The sequence below is a fragment of the Homo sapiens genome (assembly GCF_000001405.40).
Source record: "Homo sapiens chromosome 4 unlocalized genomic scaffold, GRCh38.p14 Primary Assembly HSCHR4_RANDOM_CTG4".
NCBI lineage: Eukaryota > Metazoa > Chordata > Mammalia > Primates > Hominidae > Homo > Homo sapiens.
The window spans coordinates 145,312-160,360 of NT_113793.3; the positions used below are offsets into that span (position 1 = coordinate 145,312).

The following is a 15,049-nucleotide window of genomic DNA, read 5'->3' on the forward strand; positions in this document are numbered from 1 at the left end:
GCAGAACCATCAGCCGATTAAACCCCTTTTTGTTATGATCATACAGAAAATTAGTACTGTGAAGTGAAGCTATGAAATGCCTTCAATGACTTTTCCCCATCGTCTTGGCTAAGACCTCCAAGGTCTTAACTCATTCCAGCATTTACTTCAATATCTGAAGCCCAAAGTCTCATCTGAGACAAAGATGCAGTCCCTTCTGTTCCTGAGCCTCTGAAATACAAAGCAAGTTAACTATTTCCAAGGTATGATTGTCCAGGCATTGAGTAAGAATTCCCACCCTAAAGGAAGATTTTTGCCAGAGAGAACAACGAAACACAAATGGGACTTACAGGTCCCAGGAAAATCCAAAACCCAGAAGGCCAGTTACTCAAACTTACAGCTCCAAAGTCATCCTTTTTTAATCCTTGTCCCACATCCAGGGCACAAGGGCATGAGGGCTGGACTCCCAAGGCCTTGGGCTGGTCTGCACCTGTGGCTTTGTAGTTTTCAGTCCCCACAGCTGCCCTCATGGGCTGTGCTGGTGTTGAGTGCCTGTAGTTTTTACCCACAGAGTGTACAAAGCTCTTGGTGGGTCTATGAATCTGGGGTCTGCATATGGTGGCCTCCAGTGTGGGGGCTCCAACCCCCTATTTTCCTTCTGCACTGCCCTAGTAGAGGTTTCCCAGGAGGCTCTGCTTTTTTGGCAGCCTTCTGTCTGGACACCCAGGCATTTTCATACATCTTCCAAAATCTATATGAAGGCTCTGAAGCCTCTGGGCTAGTGCTCTATGGACTTGCTGGCTTAAGACTATGTGGAAGCCGTGAAGCCTTATAGCTTGTACCCTCTGAAGCAGTGATGCAATCTGTACCAGTGCATCTTTCAGCCAAGGTCGGAGCAGGAGCTGCGGCTGCTGGGATGCAGGCAGCAGTGTCCTGAGGCTGCACACAGCAGCAGGGCCATGGGGCTGGCCCCAGAAACCATTCTTCTCTCCTAGGCCCCAGGGTCTGTGACACCAAGGGCTGCTGCAACCATCTCTGAAATGCCTCCAAGGCTTTTTCCCCCCATTGTCTTGGCTATTAGCACTGGCCTCCATTTTATGCAAATTTCTGGAGCCTTCATGAATTTTCCCCCTGAAAATCAGCTTTTCTTTTTGACCACTTGGCCAGGCTGCAAATGGTTCTAAACTTTTGAGCTCTGCTTGTCATTTAAATATAAATTCCAACTTGAGGTCATTTCCTCAGTCACACATAACCTTGGTCACACAAGAACACGGGCTGTTTGATGCAGACAGGATCCCCCTTGTGCTATGCTGCCTAGAAGTTCATTCCACCAGATATGCACTAAATCATCACCCTCAAGTTCAAAGTTTCACAGATCTCGAGGGCAAGGTCGCGCTGCAGCCATGTTCTTTGCTACAGCAAAACATAAGTAACCTTGGCTCCTGTTCCCAGTAATTTCCTCATTTTCATCTGAGACCTTGTAAGCCTGGCCTTCACTGTCCATCCTTCTGCCAGCCTTTTAATCACAACTATTCAACAAGTGCCTACGATGGTCCAAAATTTCTTTCATCTTCCTGTCTTCTTTCAAGCTCTCCAAACTCTCCAACCTCTGGCTGTTACCCACTTCTGAACCTGCTTTACATTTTCAGCTATCTTTGTTGCAGCCTGACAATGTAGAAGAAAAAGAAGTCCATTTTCAGGGGGAAACTTCAAGAAGTCTTCAAATATTTGCATTAAAAAGAAGTCCAGTGCTAATAGCCAAGACGATGGGGAAATGTCATTGAAGATATTTCATAGCTCCACTTCGCAGTACTTTATTTTCTGTATGATCATAATGAAAAGGGGTTTAATTGGCTCATGGTTCTGCAGGCTGTAAAGAAAGCATAGTGGCTTCTGCTTCTGGGAGGACTCAGCAAGACTCCCAATCATACCAACAGGAAAACAGCAATGAAATATTTCATACGGCAGGAGTAGGAGCAAGGCTGAGAGAGGAAAGAGGTGCCACACCGTTATATAATCAGATCTCATGAGAACTCACTATCACTATGTCAGCATCAAGAAGATGGTGCTTAACCATTGGTGAAGGATCCGCCCCCCAACACAGCTCCACCTCCTAGTGTTCCAGACAGAAGCCTGCTGCAGAGGCAGAGGCTCTTGGGAATCCTGTACTATGGCAGTGCAGAAGGAAAATAAGGGCTTTGACTGACTATGCAGGAGGCCACCATCCTCGAGACCCCAGATTCATAGACCTACCAACAGTTCACACCCTCAGTATGGAAAAGTGATAGGCTCTCAACACCAGCCCAGCCCATGAGAGCAGCCATGGGGGCTAAAGCCTGCAAAGCCACAGGTGCACTGCCCTGGTAGAAGTTTTCCATGAGCCTCGGCCTCTGCAGCAGGCTACTCCCCCTTCCTACTATCCATCACCCTCCCACGGCCCTACAGCCAGCCTACTCTTCCCCACCCTACCCACCCCATTTTTTCTTCCACCCCTACCCCTCCCATCCATGATTAAATAATCTCCCACCAGGCCCCATCTCCAAAATTTGGGATTACAATTCCACATGAGTTTTTCCAGGGGCACACAGCCAAATCATATTATGCTGACCTTGACCCCCCAAATATCATATCCTTTTCACAGAATAAAATACAATCATGCCTTTTCAAAGGTTTCCAAAAGGCTTAACTCCTTCCTGCATTAACTCAAATGTAAAAAGTTTTAAGTCTTATCTGAGACAAGGCTGCAGTCTCTTCTGCCTATGAGTCCCTGAAGTTAAAAGGGTGTTTGTTTCTTTCAAGGTACAATGATGGTACAGGTACTGGGTAAACTTTCTCAATCCAAAGGGAAGAAATTTCCAAGAAAAATAACACAAATGGGACCACAGGCCCAATGGACATCCAAAATCCAGTACGTCAGTGTTCATTCAATCTCACAGCTCCAAAATCATGAAGAGAACTCACTATCAGAAGGACAGCATTAAGGAGATGGTGTTTAACCATTTGTGAAGGATCCACCCCCACCCCTGCCTTTCACCCCCAACCCCACCACAATCCCCTCCAACCCTCCCCACCCCCGATTCCCTCCAACCCTCTCCACCCCAGAATCCCCCCCACCCTCCCGGTGCCCCCAACCATCCAACCTCCACTCTCCACCATGATTAAATCACCTTCCATCAGCCCCCACCTTTAACATTTTGCATTAACATTCCACATGAGCTTTGGTAGAGACAGAGAGCCAAAACCTATTATTCTATCTCTGGTCCCCCAAAGTTCATGTCTTTCTCACATTGCAAAATGTAATGATGTCTTCCCTAGAGTCTCTCAAATCTTAACTCATTCCAGCATTTACTCAAATGCACAAAGCCCAGAGTCTTATCTGAGACAAGTCTACAGTCCCTCCTGCCCATGAGCCAGTGAATTGTAAAGCAAGTTTACTACTTCCAAGGTACAATGATTGTACAGGCAGTGGGTGACTCACAGGATACATAAGTGTCCAAAACCCAGCAGGCCAGTCACTTAATGCTACAGCTCCAAAATCACCATTTTTGAATCCTTGTCCCATATCCATAGCACAGGGCTGTGAGGGCTGAGCTCCCAAGGCCTTGGGCAGATCTGCACCTGTGGCTTTGCAGCGTTCAGCTTCCGCGGATGTCTCTCATGGACAGGGCTGTTGTTGAGTGCCCATAGCTTTTCCACACTGAGGGTGCAAGCTGTTTATGGGTCCATGAATCTGGGGTTTAGAGAATGATGCCTCCCTGTGTGGGGGCTTCAACCCTATAGGTCCCTTCTTTGCTCCTCTAGTAGAGGTTCCCCATGAAGCTCTGCCTCTTGGAAAAGCTTCTTCCTGAACATCCAGGATTTTCTGTACATCTTCTGGAGTCTAGACGGGAGTTTCCAATCCTCTAATCTCTTTCTCTGTGCACCTACTGGCTTAACACTATATGGAAACCATCAAGACTTTGAGGCACCTCTGAAGCAATGACCCAAGCTGTACCTGTGCATCTTTCAGCCATGGCTGGTGCTGGAGCTGCACGGATGCCGACAGCAGTGTCCTGCGGTTGAGCACAGCAGCAGAGCCATGGGACTGGCCTAGGAAACCATTCTTTTCTCCTAGGCCCCAGGGCCTGTGACAGCAAGGGCTGCTGCAGACATCTCTAAAATGCTTTCAAGGCCGGTTTCCCACTGTCTTGGCGTTTTGCACTGGGTTCCTTTTTATACAAATACCCTAAGCCTTCTTGAATTTTCCCCCTCAAAATCGGCTTTTCTTTTTGACCACTTAGCCAGGCTCCACATTTTCCAAACTTTAGATCTCCACTTGAAGTTCCAACTTGAAGTCACTTCTTAGGTCACCCATAAGAACACAAGCTGTTCAATGTAGGCAGGACACCTCTTGTGCTATGCTGCCTAGAAGTTCATTTCACCAGATACATCCTAAATCATCACCCCCAAGTTCATAGTTTCACAGATCTCCAGGGCAGGGTCCCCATGCAGCCAGCTTCTTTGCTAAGGCCAATCAAATGTAATCTTGTCTCTTGTTCATAGGAAATTCCTCATTTTCATCTGAGAACTTTTAGGTCTGGACTTCAGTGTTTACACTTTTGTCAGCCTTCCTATCACAAGTATTTAACAATTCTCTATAGTGGTCCAATATTTTCCTCATCTTGCTGTCTTCTAAGCTTTCCCAACTCTTCTGACCTCTGTCTTTTACCCACTTCTGAACCTGGTTCTACATTGTCAGCTATCTTTATCACAGCCTGGCAATGTGGTAAAACAGAAAAGTCCATTTTCAGGGGGAAAGTTCATGAAGGATTCAGATATTTGCATGAAAAGAAGCTGAGTGCTGGTTGCCAAGACAAAGGGGAAAGGGCCTTGAAGGCATTTCATGGCTCCACTTCATAGTACTAATTTTCTGCATGATCATAAAGAAAAGAGGTTTAATTGGCTCACGGTCCAGCAGGCTGTAAAGGAAGCACAGTGGCTTCTGCTTCTGGGAGGATCAGATCAGGAAGCCTTCCAATCATACCAGAAGGCCAAGGGGCAATGAGATGTTTCAAATGGCAGGGGTAGAAGAAAGACTGAGAGAGGAAAGAGGTGCCACCCCCTGTTATATAACCAGATCTCATGAGAACACACTATCATGAAGAGAGCATCAAGAAGACGTTGCCTAACCATTGGTGAAGGATCTGCCTCCCACCCCCACCTCCCACTGTTTCCAGGCAGAAGCCTGCTGCAGATGAAGCATTCTTGGGAAACCTCTACTAGGGCAGTGCAGAAGGAAAATATGGACTTGGAGCCCCCATGCAGGGGGCCACCACCCTCCAGACCCCAGATACATAGACCCACCAACAGCTTGCACCCTCCGTGTGGAAAAGCTACAGGCACTCAACACTAGTCCAGTCCATGAGAGCAGCCATTGGGGCTCAAACCTGCAAAGCCACAGGTGCGCTTCCCTAGTAGGGATTTTCCATGAGACTCTGCCTCTGCAGCAGGCTACTACCCCTTCCTACTACCCACCACCCTCCCACCACCGTACAGTCAGTCTACTCCCTCGCACCCTACCCACCCCTTTTTCCCTTCCACATCCACCCCCACCCATCCATGATTAAATCACTCCCTCCCACTCCCTGTCATAATCTAATCCCTCCAAACCCTTCCAATCTTTGTTTGCTACCCACTACTGAGCCTGCTTCTACTTTTTCAGAAATCTGTATAGCAGGTTGGCTATGTAGCAATAACAAAAATCCCATTTAAGGGGAACATTCAAGAAGATTTCAGAAATTTGCATATAAAGAAGCCCTGTGCTAATAGCCAAAACAAAGGGAAAAAGGCCTTGAAGGCATTTCACAGCTCCTCTCTGCAGTTCTACTTTTCTGTATTATTGTAAATAAAAGAGGTGTAATTGACTCATGGTTCTGCAAGCTGTGAAGGAAGTATAGTGTCTTCTGTTTCTGTGAGGAATCAGGAAGCCTCCTCATTATATCAGAAAGCCAAGGGACAATGAGATGTCTCCTAAAGCAGGAGCAGGAGGATGAGATCTGTTAAACAACCAGATCTCATGGAAACTCACTCATTATCAGGAGGATAGCATCAAGGTGATGGTTCTTTATCATTCGTGAAGTATCTACCTGCACCATTTTATGACTAAATCTTTTTCCACCTAGACCTTGCCTGTAACATTACAAAATATAATTCCACATGAGTTTTGGTAGGGACATAGACAAAAACCGTATTATTCTGTCCTTGACCCGATGAATCTCATGTCCTTCTCACATTGCAAAATACAAACATGCCTTGCCAGCAGTCTCCCAAAGTCTTAACTCATTTCAGGATTAACTCAAAGTTACAAAGTCCAAAGTCTCATCTGGGTCAAGGCTACAGTCTCTTTTGCCTATGAGTCTCTGAAATAAAAAGCAGGCATTGTGTAAGCTTTCCATTTCCAAAAGGAAGACATTTTCCAGAAAGCTTCTTATTTCTCTCTGAGACCTCCTCAGCCTGGCCTTCACTGTCCATGTTTCTGTCAGGATTTTTGTCACAACCATTGAACCAGACTCTAAGATGGTCCAAAAGTTTTCTCATCTGTCTTCTTTTGAGCCCTCCAAACTCTTCCAACCTCCATCCATTACCTGGTTCCAAAGCTGCTTCCACATTTCCAGGTATCTTTATAGCAAAGCTCCAGTCCTCATTTGCCATTTCCTGTATGATTTATTTTGAAAAAGAGGTTTAATTGGCTCATGGTTCTAAGCACAGTGCTTCTGCTTCTAGGCCTCAGAAATCTTTCAATAATCATGGAAGGCAAAGAAAGAATCAATTGTCTCACATGGCAAGGGGAAAACACGGAGAGTGGGGAGGTGATATAGAGATTTCAGTGACTACATCTCATGAGAAGTCACTCATTATTGTGAGGATGGTACAAGGGGATGGTGCTGAACCATTCATGAGAAATTTGCCTTCATAATTCAATCACATTATACCAGGATCCACCTTCCACATTAGGAAATATAATTCAACATGAGATTCGGTGGGGACACATATTCAAATTGCATCATCAATCTTTGAATATAAAGACATCCACAGCAGGTTTTATCCAGCCAACTTCTTTGAGACTCTTTATAGAGTTTGAAGTCTAGAGCATATACACTAAAATATTCATACTTCAAAAAGCAATAAAGTGGTATTATCATTTTTCCAAAAGTTACAGCAGTAGTTTAGGCATTCATAGTATGATTTAGTTCACGATTGCTACTGTTTCTATTCTATCACCATATTAACTGTTTCCTATACAATTCTGTATTCAACTGGATTTCAGTTGAGCACAAAACCATCCTTGTACTAGCTCTTTGCTAGTGTTATTATTCTGCTGTAGAAAGTATCCTTGAACTGGAAACCGTCCACGATCGAGTATTGAGTCATTCAACACTATCAATTCCTGGGTGACTTTTTGAAAAAGTAGTATCTCTTGTTGCAAGAAATGCTGCATCTGTGAGTCCATGTCTCTCACTGGAATTGGATGGAAGTGGTGAATTTCAGCCAAAGTGGCCAAAGAAATCCTGTTCCTGTGATTCTGACGTCATCAGCCTCTGCACCTTCTTCTGCACCTGTGTCTTCCCTTCTGCCACATGTTGTCTGCTCTCCATGACTTTGGTAAGAGCTTCCTTGTGTATGTGGATGATGTCCAGGGTGTTGGTCTGGTGTCCCTGAGACAGCACTAACAGGTCCATGGCTGGGTCCAGGTCCTTCCTGGACTGACTGGCAAAGAGCTCACTGACAGAGTGGAAGGCATCTATACTGAAGTGGATGGCCTGGTCCAGCTCCAAGGCCTGGCTGAGGCTGAAGAAGAACTGTCAGGCTTCTGATGCTCTTTCTCAAAGCCTGCCACCACTCATTGGCTGTGAAGTTGAGCTGAGTGCCCTGTTGTCCATCTTCTTGGTGAAGCACTTGAAGCCGTCAATCTTGCTCTCCCACTCCTAAAAGTTGAGTGTCACACTGGGGGTGGGCTCAGGGCCAGGAAGAATCTGGCACTCACCATCTCATCCTTCTCAGCCTTCCTCTTGCCCTGTCTCCAGGCTATCTCTTCAGTGCTGGTGGGGCACATCAGGAAGTGACAAACAATGTGGCACTGCACCTGCATCCAGAAGCTGGCTGTGTGGTTCATCTACAAGATTGGGCCCTTTCTGCACTTGAACATAGATCCTACTTCAAAATAGATGCTTCCACACTGTCAGTGAGCTCTTTGCCCATCAGCCCAGGCAGGATCTGGACCCAGTCATGGACCTGTTAGTGCTGTCTCAGGGACACCAGGCCAACATTCTGGACATCATCCACATACACAAGGAAGCTCTTACCAGAGTCCTCCTCAAGATGGCCTGTGGTCTGCCTCTTGGCACCCGAGAAGCCCACAGTGCTGTAGAAGCCCCGATGCTTGGACTGGAGCCCCAAAGGCGGCACACACCCCAGTTCTGAGCCTGCTGCTCATTTCCTCTCTGTGGCTCCATTTGCAGCACATTTGTTGCACTGAGGCCTGTGCATGCCAGGCAAAGCCAAGCTGGCTCAAAGAGCAACCACCCACCTCTGCAATGGTGTGCCAGGAGCCAGTGGACCAGCCACCAACGTCACTCCCTGCCAGTCAGGGTAAATCAGTTATTCTGCCCTGGAGGTGGAGCCCCAGTGCCATCTGCTTTTCCTCAGGCCTCCACTCCATCAGCTGTCAGGTGGTGGTCACTCAGACTGTGGGAAACTGGCCATCCCTATTTCCTTGAGTGGGTGAGGTTGGTGACTGCTCCACCTGCTCCTGGCACACCCTTGCAGAGGTGGCTGGTTGCTCTTTGAGCCAGCTTGGCCTTGCCTGGCATGCACAGGCCCCAGGTACTGAGAAGCTGCTCCGAGTAAGGTTGTCTTGGGCCAAATTCTAAGTCTGGCCAGGGCCACAGAAGGCCGAGTCCCCTGGGTGGTAATCCTGGCTGCTGCAGGGGGGCCCATGGTGCCCCTCCCCTCCCAGGGCTCAGGATGAGGTCCGACTGGGACAGGATGCTTTAGGTATGGGGCTTGTGCCCCAGGAGGGGACCTCTGTCACACACGTTGGGTGAGAATATGTATGGCATGCTGCTGGCTGCCAGGGCTGTTGGGATGCACGTTCACCCTTCCCTTCAGGGACCTCAAAGTGACCAGCTTCCCCTTTATGAATGACTTCCAAGGCCCAGGAGCCATTTGGGGCTGCAGAGCAGCTGGCTGCATGCTGCCCTGGCTTCTTCCATGTTGTGCTGGTCACTACCTACCAAGGGGGGTCAGATGCAGGCACAATGTAGGACGATTGTCTCTGGACCTGTGTCTTGGTTATCATGGAGCTAGACTGGGCCTGGTGACAGGGCCCTGATGGGGTTGTCCTGTGTGGTCACGGAGGTGATCAGAAAAGATGCAGAATGGAATTGCTGCGAGGATGAATGAGATGACTGTCAGCACATAACAGGCAGCTGGTGAGTGTTCAGGGATTACCCTCAGTAGCTGCCCAGAGACCAAAACCATCCACCTGATAGTGACTTTTCCCAAGCCAGGAGGAAGAGAAAAGAGCAGGTCCCACTCACCTGAATCTGATCAGTGAGCTGTGTTGAGATGTGCCTCTCATCTAGAAAATGGTCCTTCACGCAGAGCTACTCACAGACACTGCTGTGTGTCTCTAACTGCTCCACAACACAGAGGTGATGGGGACTCAGCAACAGTGACATTGTGGGGTGACACAACCCACCACCATGGGAGTCTGCTTGGGTCAACAGGGCCCAGAGTCAGTGTCCTCTATCCCCTGAACTGACATGTGTGTATGCAATGTATTTGTGTATGCATGTGTGCCTGTGTGTGTGTGTGTATGTGTGTGTTTGTCTTGCTTCTCTGGACAGGCCTAGCTTCTCCACTCATGGGTGCACCCAGGTCCTCATCACTGTCACCTTAGAGCATTAGAGCCTCTATAGGTGCTCCCCAATCTCTGCCCTCCCCACCCATGGTGGTCCTGGGGATGCAGACAGAGGAGGGGCACTGCATAATGCTGAGAGGGCTGGCACCCTCTCTAGGTGGAACACAGGTCATTTGTAAAGTTGTAGGTCTGCCAAGCAGTATTGGATTCAACACATCTTCTCACCTTCTCTTTCCAGCCACCCTCCAGGGTGCCCCGACTCACTTTCCCTGCAGATGGAGGCAAGGAGGCTCCACAGACAACCCCCCTGCCTGAGGTCACATAGTGGCCAGCAGGCCAGGTACTGACAAACTGCCCCTGACCAGGTTCCCAGTGATGAGTGATGAGACCCCTAATGACCACTCCTCCATTGACCAGGTCCCACTGATCAAGTCCCCACTGACCATGTCTTCCTAACCAGGCCCACACTTAATAGGCCTCATGGGCCAGACCCCACTGACCAATTTTCCACTGACCTGGTCCCCATTGACAAGACAGGGTTCCCACTGACAAGACCACAATTTACCAGGTTGCTGCTCAACCGACCCCCCACTGAACAATTCTCCATGAACGAGTACCCAGCTGACTGAGCCCCCTCTGACCAGGCCCTCACTGACCAGGCTCCAAGCCACTAAGGCCCCACACTGACCAGGCCCGTGATATATTGTGTATGCCCCACCAACCAGTTTTTCATTGTTTATGTTCCAACAGATCAGGCCCCACTAATAAAGCCACCACTGACTAGGTCCCCCCACTGACCAGGCTTCCAATGACTAGGTCACCAGGTCCCCATTGATGAGGCCTTTACTGAGGAGGCCGCCACTAACCAGGCCCCTGCTGATCAGGTCCCAAATGACCAGGTCCTGATGACCAGGTCATCTCTGACCATGGTCCACTGACCAGGCCCCGGAGCAATGGGGTTCAAAGTCTCATTACAATGTCCCCCTCAGCTCATAGACCCTCCCTCCCTGCATGTGTGCCCAGAGGTCAGGCCCTGGGGGTTTTTTTGGGACGTGGCCTTTCCTCCAAGACACAGGGAGAGACAGTTGGCCTCAGGCTCCAGGTTCCGAGATCCACACTCACCCCAAAGGCACTCTGGGCCCGTCTCAAAGGAGAAAGTGAGGTGGCCTGACACTGCCTGGACACACCATCTACCCTATTCCTGAGTGTCAGAGTGTGAGGAAGGGAGGGACTTTTGGCAGATAAGGCACGCTGTGCTGTTGGGTCTCTCAGGGCCCTTCCCACAGAGCCCCGATCTAAAGACACAACACAGAGGCTACAGGAAGACTAATCCAGAACCTCTGAGACAGCCAGGGACCACATGAGGACTCTCCCCAGACAGGCAGAAGGCCCTTTGCTAGTTTCTTGGTACTTCAGTGGATGTGGCAGTGGTTCTTCTGTTGGGGACCAGTGAGTACACACTGGGGAGGGCTCACCTGTGCTTCCTCAGTGGCTCCACCTCTGCTTCTAAAAAAAATTACTCATTCCAGAGCTGGCGCAGAGAAAATACAAGCTGAGCTTAGAACATCTTCTGCCAGAAAGTAAAAAAGTGCCGACGGAGTAATGGAGACAAATCAAAGAGACATAAAGTCAGCTTGGAATGTCTACTACTGGCCTAATCTTGGGGAATTGGAGCATCAGAATCATGAGCTTTCCTTCTCCCTTATTTATTGGTTTTATTTCTCCATGTAGAACAAAGAGGAGAATAAGAAAATAATCATCTGGTAACTATCATAGTAATAATTGTTCAAACACAAGTCATCCATGAAATGCTAAATCTAGTGGGTTCTGAGGAGTAACCAGATATTTACAGAGCCTCAAAGTATCTCCATACAAAATACGGTTGAACTACAAAAAGAAAATTGTAACATTAGCATGGACAAACCTTGCAGGTACTACTTAACTCTCCTAAGTAATAAAAACTGTAAAATGCAAATAAGCCTTCGATGACCTTTACTAACCTTTACTAAAGTATCAATGATGACTTGGTTGTTTAAACAGCTGACATTTGGGCAATTTGAATATGTCAAACTCAATAATACTGGTTTTCATTTGCAAGATCCACTTAAAACTTAAGGAGGCCAAAAAACATCATTTAAAATACCCTATAAATTATAATCATACATATGATACAAAAATATCCTACTTCAGTAAACATTGGAATGTTATATATTTCATGAGAAACAATTAAAATGTGTAAATAGCCCAGTAATAAAGTTTTATAATCTTTTAAATCATCATAGAATTTTTCCTTAAGACTTTATGGTTAAATATTCTCTTCATTAGATGTGGCTTACCCGTGGATTCTAGAGAAGAAAGTAGATGGGAGCAAGTGTCCAATACAGCAACAGCTGGAAAGAAAAATAAAGAATTTTGTTCTTTACCTAAAACACTTCAGTTAACTAAGTGTGAGTTTAAAAACTAAAGACTTGAGAACTTTATCAGAGTTAATAAGTGAGAAATATGTATGTACATATACAACACAAAATTACTATTTAATAATTTACACATGGCATTAATTCTAACTGTGTTTAAATATCAGAGCTTTTTCAGTCTTCATTCATGTAATCAACAGCCACATGCTAAGGTACTAGAACCAGCACTGGAATTACAAGATGAAGATGGCATGGTCCACCTCTCAACAGTCATAAGCTATAACCTAAAAAACAGACAGGCAGGAAATGTCCATATAGAGTCATAGATACCATGACAGGTATACAGCAGGGCACTACTGGAACACAGAGAAAGGACATCTACCCACTTTTATGTCAATATCATGGGCTTTCTGGTGGAGGAGATAACATAGGTTGATGCCTGAAGGACAAGGAAAAGCTTCCCAGATAGAGGAAAGAGGCAAAGGCAAAGAGCCTGAGGTGAGGAAGAGCCCTGCAGAGTTCCACTCCATCCAGTTTGGTGCTACAGCAAAGGGCAGAGTGCAATAAGTGGTGAGAAACAAGGCTGAGTAACTTGGCAAGAATTACATTGACATGGGTGTTTTTATTTCATGGTGAAAAATTTGGAACTTTTCCTGAGAACAAGTGTAAGCCAATGACACAGTAAATTAGAGGAGATTTAAAATGTCACCTGTCAAGTGACTGCTTATGAAGGGTTATTGCTCAGCTAAGTATTTCTGAATGAGTCTTAGGTCTGTTGGCCTTCAATCTCTACCAAAACCCTGAGAACTTGATGATGCTTTTGTTTTCTGAGAATCGTTTCAGTGTGCTGGCTGACAGTTCCATGAGGATGGCAAAACTTAAGAAAGTGTAGAGCCAGTGAAAAAGAGATGCACAGACTTCTTGGGAACTGTTTAAGCTTTGGAACATGATGAATTTATGGTGCATAAGTACAGTCTTCTCTGTGAAAGTTTTTGTTTTCACATCTTTCATTAGATGTGTGTAAGAAAAAAAATATTGATGTAGTATCTACTAACCCAAGAATGAAAAGGAATGCCATTTGCTATTTACACTTTATTTCTAAAATAAACCTAAATTTAATTAATAAATTTTGTCAACGTACTTCTCTTTGTTTCTCTAATTATTTATTCTACACAGTCCAGCCCCATCTAAAGTAAGTAAAAATAATAATAATGTCTAAATTAAACAAGAAACATTATAATGAAAATCATGTATCACTTACAAAATGTGGCCTTTAGTATTTTTAGTGACTAGACATAACTTGAAGTTTGCTTAAATAGAAAAATAATCACATAAATAAAATAAAATTTCTACTTATTTTAAGTTTAGATAACAGAGGATGTATATGTGTAATGCGGTTTAGAGTAATCTGACAAAAATGCAGTTAATATTGATCTATTGCATATACATGATTTTAGAAAGGTAGTGTTTTATTAGTACAAAGGTTAAACAATGGCCAGGCATGGTGGCTCATACCTGTAATCCCAGCACTTGGGGAGGCCAAAGCAAGCAGATCACAAGGTCAGGAGATCGTGACCATCCTGACCAACATGGGGAAACCCCATCTCTACTAAAAATACAAAAATTAGCTGGGCGTGGTGATGTGCACCTGTAGTCCCAGCTACTTGGGATACTAAGGCAGGAGAATTGCTTGAAGCCAGGAGGTGGAGGTTGCAGTGAGCCAAGACTGCACCACTGCACTCCAGCCTGGTGACAGAGTGAGACCCTGTCTCACAAAAAAAAAAAAAAAAAAAAAAAAAAAAAAAGATTAAGTAACTAAAGCCATCTTTTGCAATGAATGCATTGCTTTGAAATTCTCAGAAAACTCTGCCCTTTATAAAAGTTTAATCCATTTTTTACTTCAATAAATTTTATCTTAAAAAGAAATTTCTGTTCTCCACTTATAGGAAACTTTTCTTTTTTTTTCTAGTTTGTATTCTAAATTAACGTGGTACCTCTGTAAGTTTCTTCCAAAGGCATATTGAGGGATACCGAGGTTTGCAGTACAATTAAACCCATCACACAGGTTGTGAGCATAGGACCCAAGAAGTAGTTTTTCAACCCTGGCCCACTCTGTCCCTCCCCATTCTTATTTCCCAGTGTCTATTATTCCCACCTTTATGACAATGTGCACCCAATATGTAGCTCCCACATGAGTGAAAACATGAGATATTTGGTTTCTGTTTCTGCGTTGGTTTGTTTAGGAGAGTGGATTCCAGCTGTATTCATGTTGCTGCAAATGACGTGATTTTGTTCTTTTCATGGCTGCATAGTATTCCATGGTACATATGGAATTTTCCAATCTACCTTGGATTTTCAATCTACCTTGGATGTACCTGGATTGACTCCACGTCTTTGCTATTGTGAATAGTGCTGCAATGAACATACATGTGTATTCATCTTTTTGTTACAATGATTTATTGTCCTTTCGGTATACCCCTAGTATAGTAATGGGGTTGCTGCATCCAACAGTCATTCTTAGTTCTTAATTTCCAAACTGCTCTCCATAGTAGCTGAATTAATTTACATTGCCACAAACGGGTTGTGTTCCCTTTTCTCCACAGCCTCCCCAACACCCTTTTTTTAAGTTTTTATTTATTATTTGTTTTTAACAAAAGTCATTGTGACTGGTGTGAAATGGTATCTCATTGATGTTTTGTTTGGCATTTTTCTGATGATTAGCAATGGTAAGCATTTGTTAATGTTTGTTGGCCAC

At 45.5% G+C, this 15,049-nt stretch overlaps 1 long non-coding RNA gene and 1 pseudogene across 1 annotated transcript; both read right to left on the reverse strand.

Annotated features, from left to right (window-relative positions):
* Positions 1–7,057: 7,057 nt before the first annotated feature.
* LOC124900509 (uncharacterized) lies at positions 7,058–10,111 on the reverse strand. The gene is made up of 2 exons (XR_007068487.1): positions 9,558–10,111; positions 7,058–9,404 (listed from the first exon to the last, which is right to left on the reverse strand). It is a non-coding gene; the product is annotated as an uncharacterized LOC124900509 (long non-coding RNA).
* SNX18P16 (sorting nexin 18 pseudogene 16) lies at positions 7,779–8,174 on the reverse strand (annotated as a pseudogene).
* Positions 10,112–15,049: the final 4,938 nt, after the last annotated feature.